General features: G+C 52.3%; 1 annotated feature.

Moving 5' to 3' along the window:
* Positions 486-986: an enhancer, noted in NCBI's record as "H3K4me1 hESC enhancer chr12:19853628-19854128 (GRCh37/hg19 assembly coordinates)". NCBI's record gives its function as "activates a minimal SCP1, AML or CMV promoter by ChIP-STARR-seq in primed H9 embryonic stem cells {active_cell/tissue: H9 hESC(primed)}" and the evidence as "EXISTENCE:reporter gene assay evidence [ECO:0000049][PMID:30033119]".

Below are 2,037 nucleotides of genomic sequence, written 5' to 3'. Positions count from 1 at the left end.
AGGCTCAGCTCACCATTCCTGGGCTGTGTGCTCTATCCCTGGGAGGGTGACACCAGGCCCCCAGCTTTGTTCTCTGGCCCCCCAAGTTTAGGAAACTGCTGCACCAGGGGGCAGGGGATGAAGTGTTCATGGTCCCCTGGCCACAACACTCCAATGAAGGGTGCTGGCTAAAGCGCTTCATCAGGGTGGTGGCAGCAGGATCTGTGCTCACTTGTACCGGCTAGCAACCACAGCAGTGCAGTGGGGTGCATCCACATTGGCTGGGGAAGGGTACCAGCAGGAGTGGGGCTGTGGCATGCCTATGTGCATTCATGCTGGCAGCAATAGCATGTGGTGGGAGCAGCATGCTAATGGGGTTCCCAGCATTTATATTCACCCATGCACCATCAACAGTTGTAGCAAGGGCAGGGTGCTGGTGGGGGCAGAGCTGCTGACATCCATGTACACATTTGCACCAGTGGCAGTGGTGGTGCGTGGGGGTGCAGGGTTGCCAGCATCAGTGCACACATTTGCGCTTGTGGTAGCAGCATAACCACGTGCCTGCACATCAGTGGGTAGGGTGGCTGGTGTGATGTACCACCACCAGCAGCAGTGATGTGATGGGGTGTGCACATACACCAGCCAGGGAGGAGAGGCAAGGCCTGCCCATGCACCAGCAAAGCAGTAAGTGGTAACCATGGGCAATCGCATGTTGGCAAAGCAGCAAGGGGAAGCTGCAGTCGGGGGAGGGTGTGGGTGGGCTGGTGCATGTCGGCAGGTGTCACTATGCTGGAGCTCTCTAATGGTCAGGCAAGGTCTTCTGGCAAAGGAGCTATGAGAAGAGTCCCCAAGAAGCACCCCGCTGGGCATCTGAGGCCACGCTGCAAGCGGGCATGGCCAGGTTGGGGCCCCAGGAGAGGTCAGCAGACAGTGAGGTGCTCAGATTGGACTGGCCCCATCTCATGAGCCAGTCTACCCTACTCTGTCCAGGTCTGACAGTCATCCTAGGCTAAAGTGTCCTAGAGGAGCATGGTGAGCCTTGGATGATGGGCATCCCTGGCCTCACTCTATTGCAGACATTCCCACTTTGCCCTATGAGTGGCAACTGTCTGGGCTTCTTACTGGCTAGAGTTCTGCCCCTACCACCTCTCTAAGCAGCTCTCTCTGCCAGCTCAAGTGTCCACAGGAGTCATGGGATCTCCTGCTGCCAGGATTCTGGAGGTCCATGGCAAGAGTGGGTTGCTCCTCGCCTGTTCAACTCATTCCTTCCCCAGGAGTTGCTGGGGGTCAGGAACAAGTCCCAGTGCTCAGTAGCCTTGTGCAGGATTCCCAGCTCCTCCTCCTTCAGCCCAGCATCTGCATCCTCCCTCCATCTCTTCTCAATGCCTTCCCTCTGAGGACCTGCTCGGAGTGTGCCAGTCTTCCTGAGATGTCCCAGTCACTTAATGGGAGAGCTTCTTCCTGGCTGTGTTTAGTCAGCCATCTTGGTTCCTTTACTAAAGAGAATTTTATCTCCTGAAACTGGACGGCAGAGAAAGCTAAGAAACAGGCCCAGTACTTAGCAAAATTCCAAAGAAAGTTAAATTCTCAACATAGGTAAATCTGCTATGTCAAGGTCAAGACCATGAATGGCAAAAAAAATGAGCATCTAAGATATAGAATTGGAGTCATCAAGGTTGATGTATTACAAATCTGAAATCTCCAGATTCCTCTGAGTTTCCAAGACTGGAGAGGCATGCACTCTTCTCTTTCAAGGACAAATACTTCTGCCTTGCTCAAAGACAATGTGGAGGCCTCCCTTGTGCAAGAAAACACATGTCCCTACTCCAAGATATCTCTCCACTTTCCCCGGCTATAAAGTCAATAACTAGGATTAAGTCACAACATTTCTCATCCAGGGAAAAGCCAGACTTGCTAAAGGAGAAAAGAGACTATATCCCGAAGGAACTGTGGAACCTAGCCTACATGTATTGTCAGTAGCAATGAGAATAAATACAAAATCAATGGGGGTGGGGCCAGAACATATGGAAAAGATCATCAATATTGGTATGCTTTGTT

This window comes from Homo sapiens, chromosome 12 (assembly GCF_000001405.40).
Source record: "Homo sapiens chromosome 12, GRCh38.p14 Primary Assembly".
NCBI classification, from domain to species: domain Eukaryota; kingdom Metazoa; phylum Chordata; class Mammalia; order Primates; family Hominidae; genus Homo; species Homo sapiens.
This window is presented reverse-complemented; position numbering and strand designations above follow the sequence as displayed.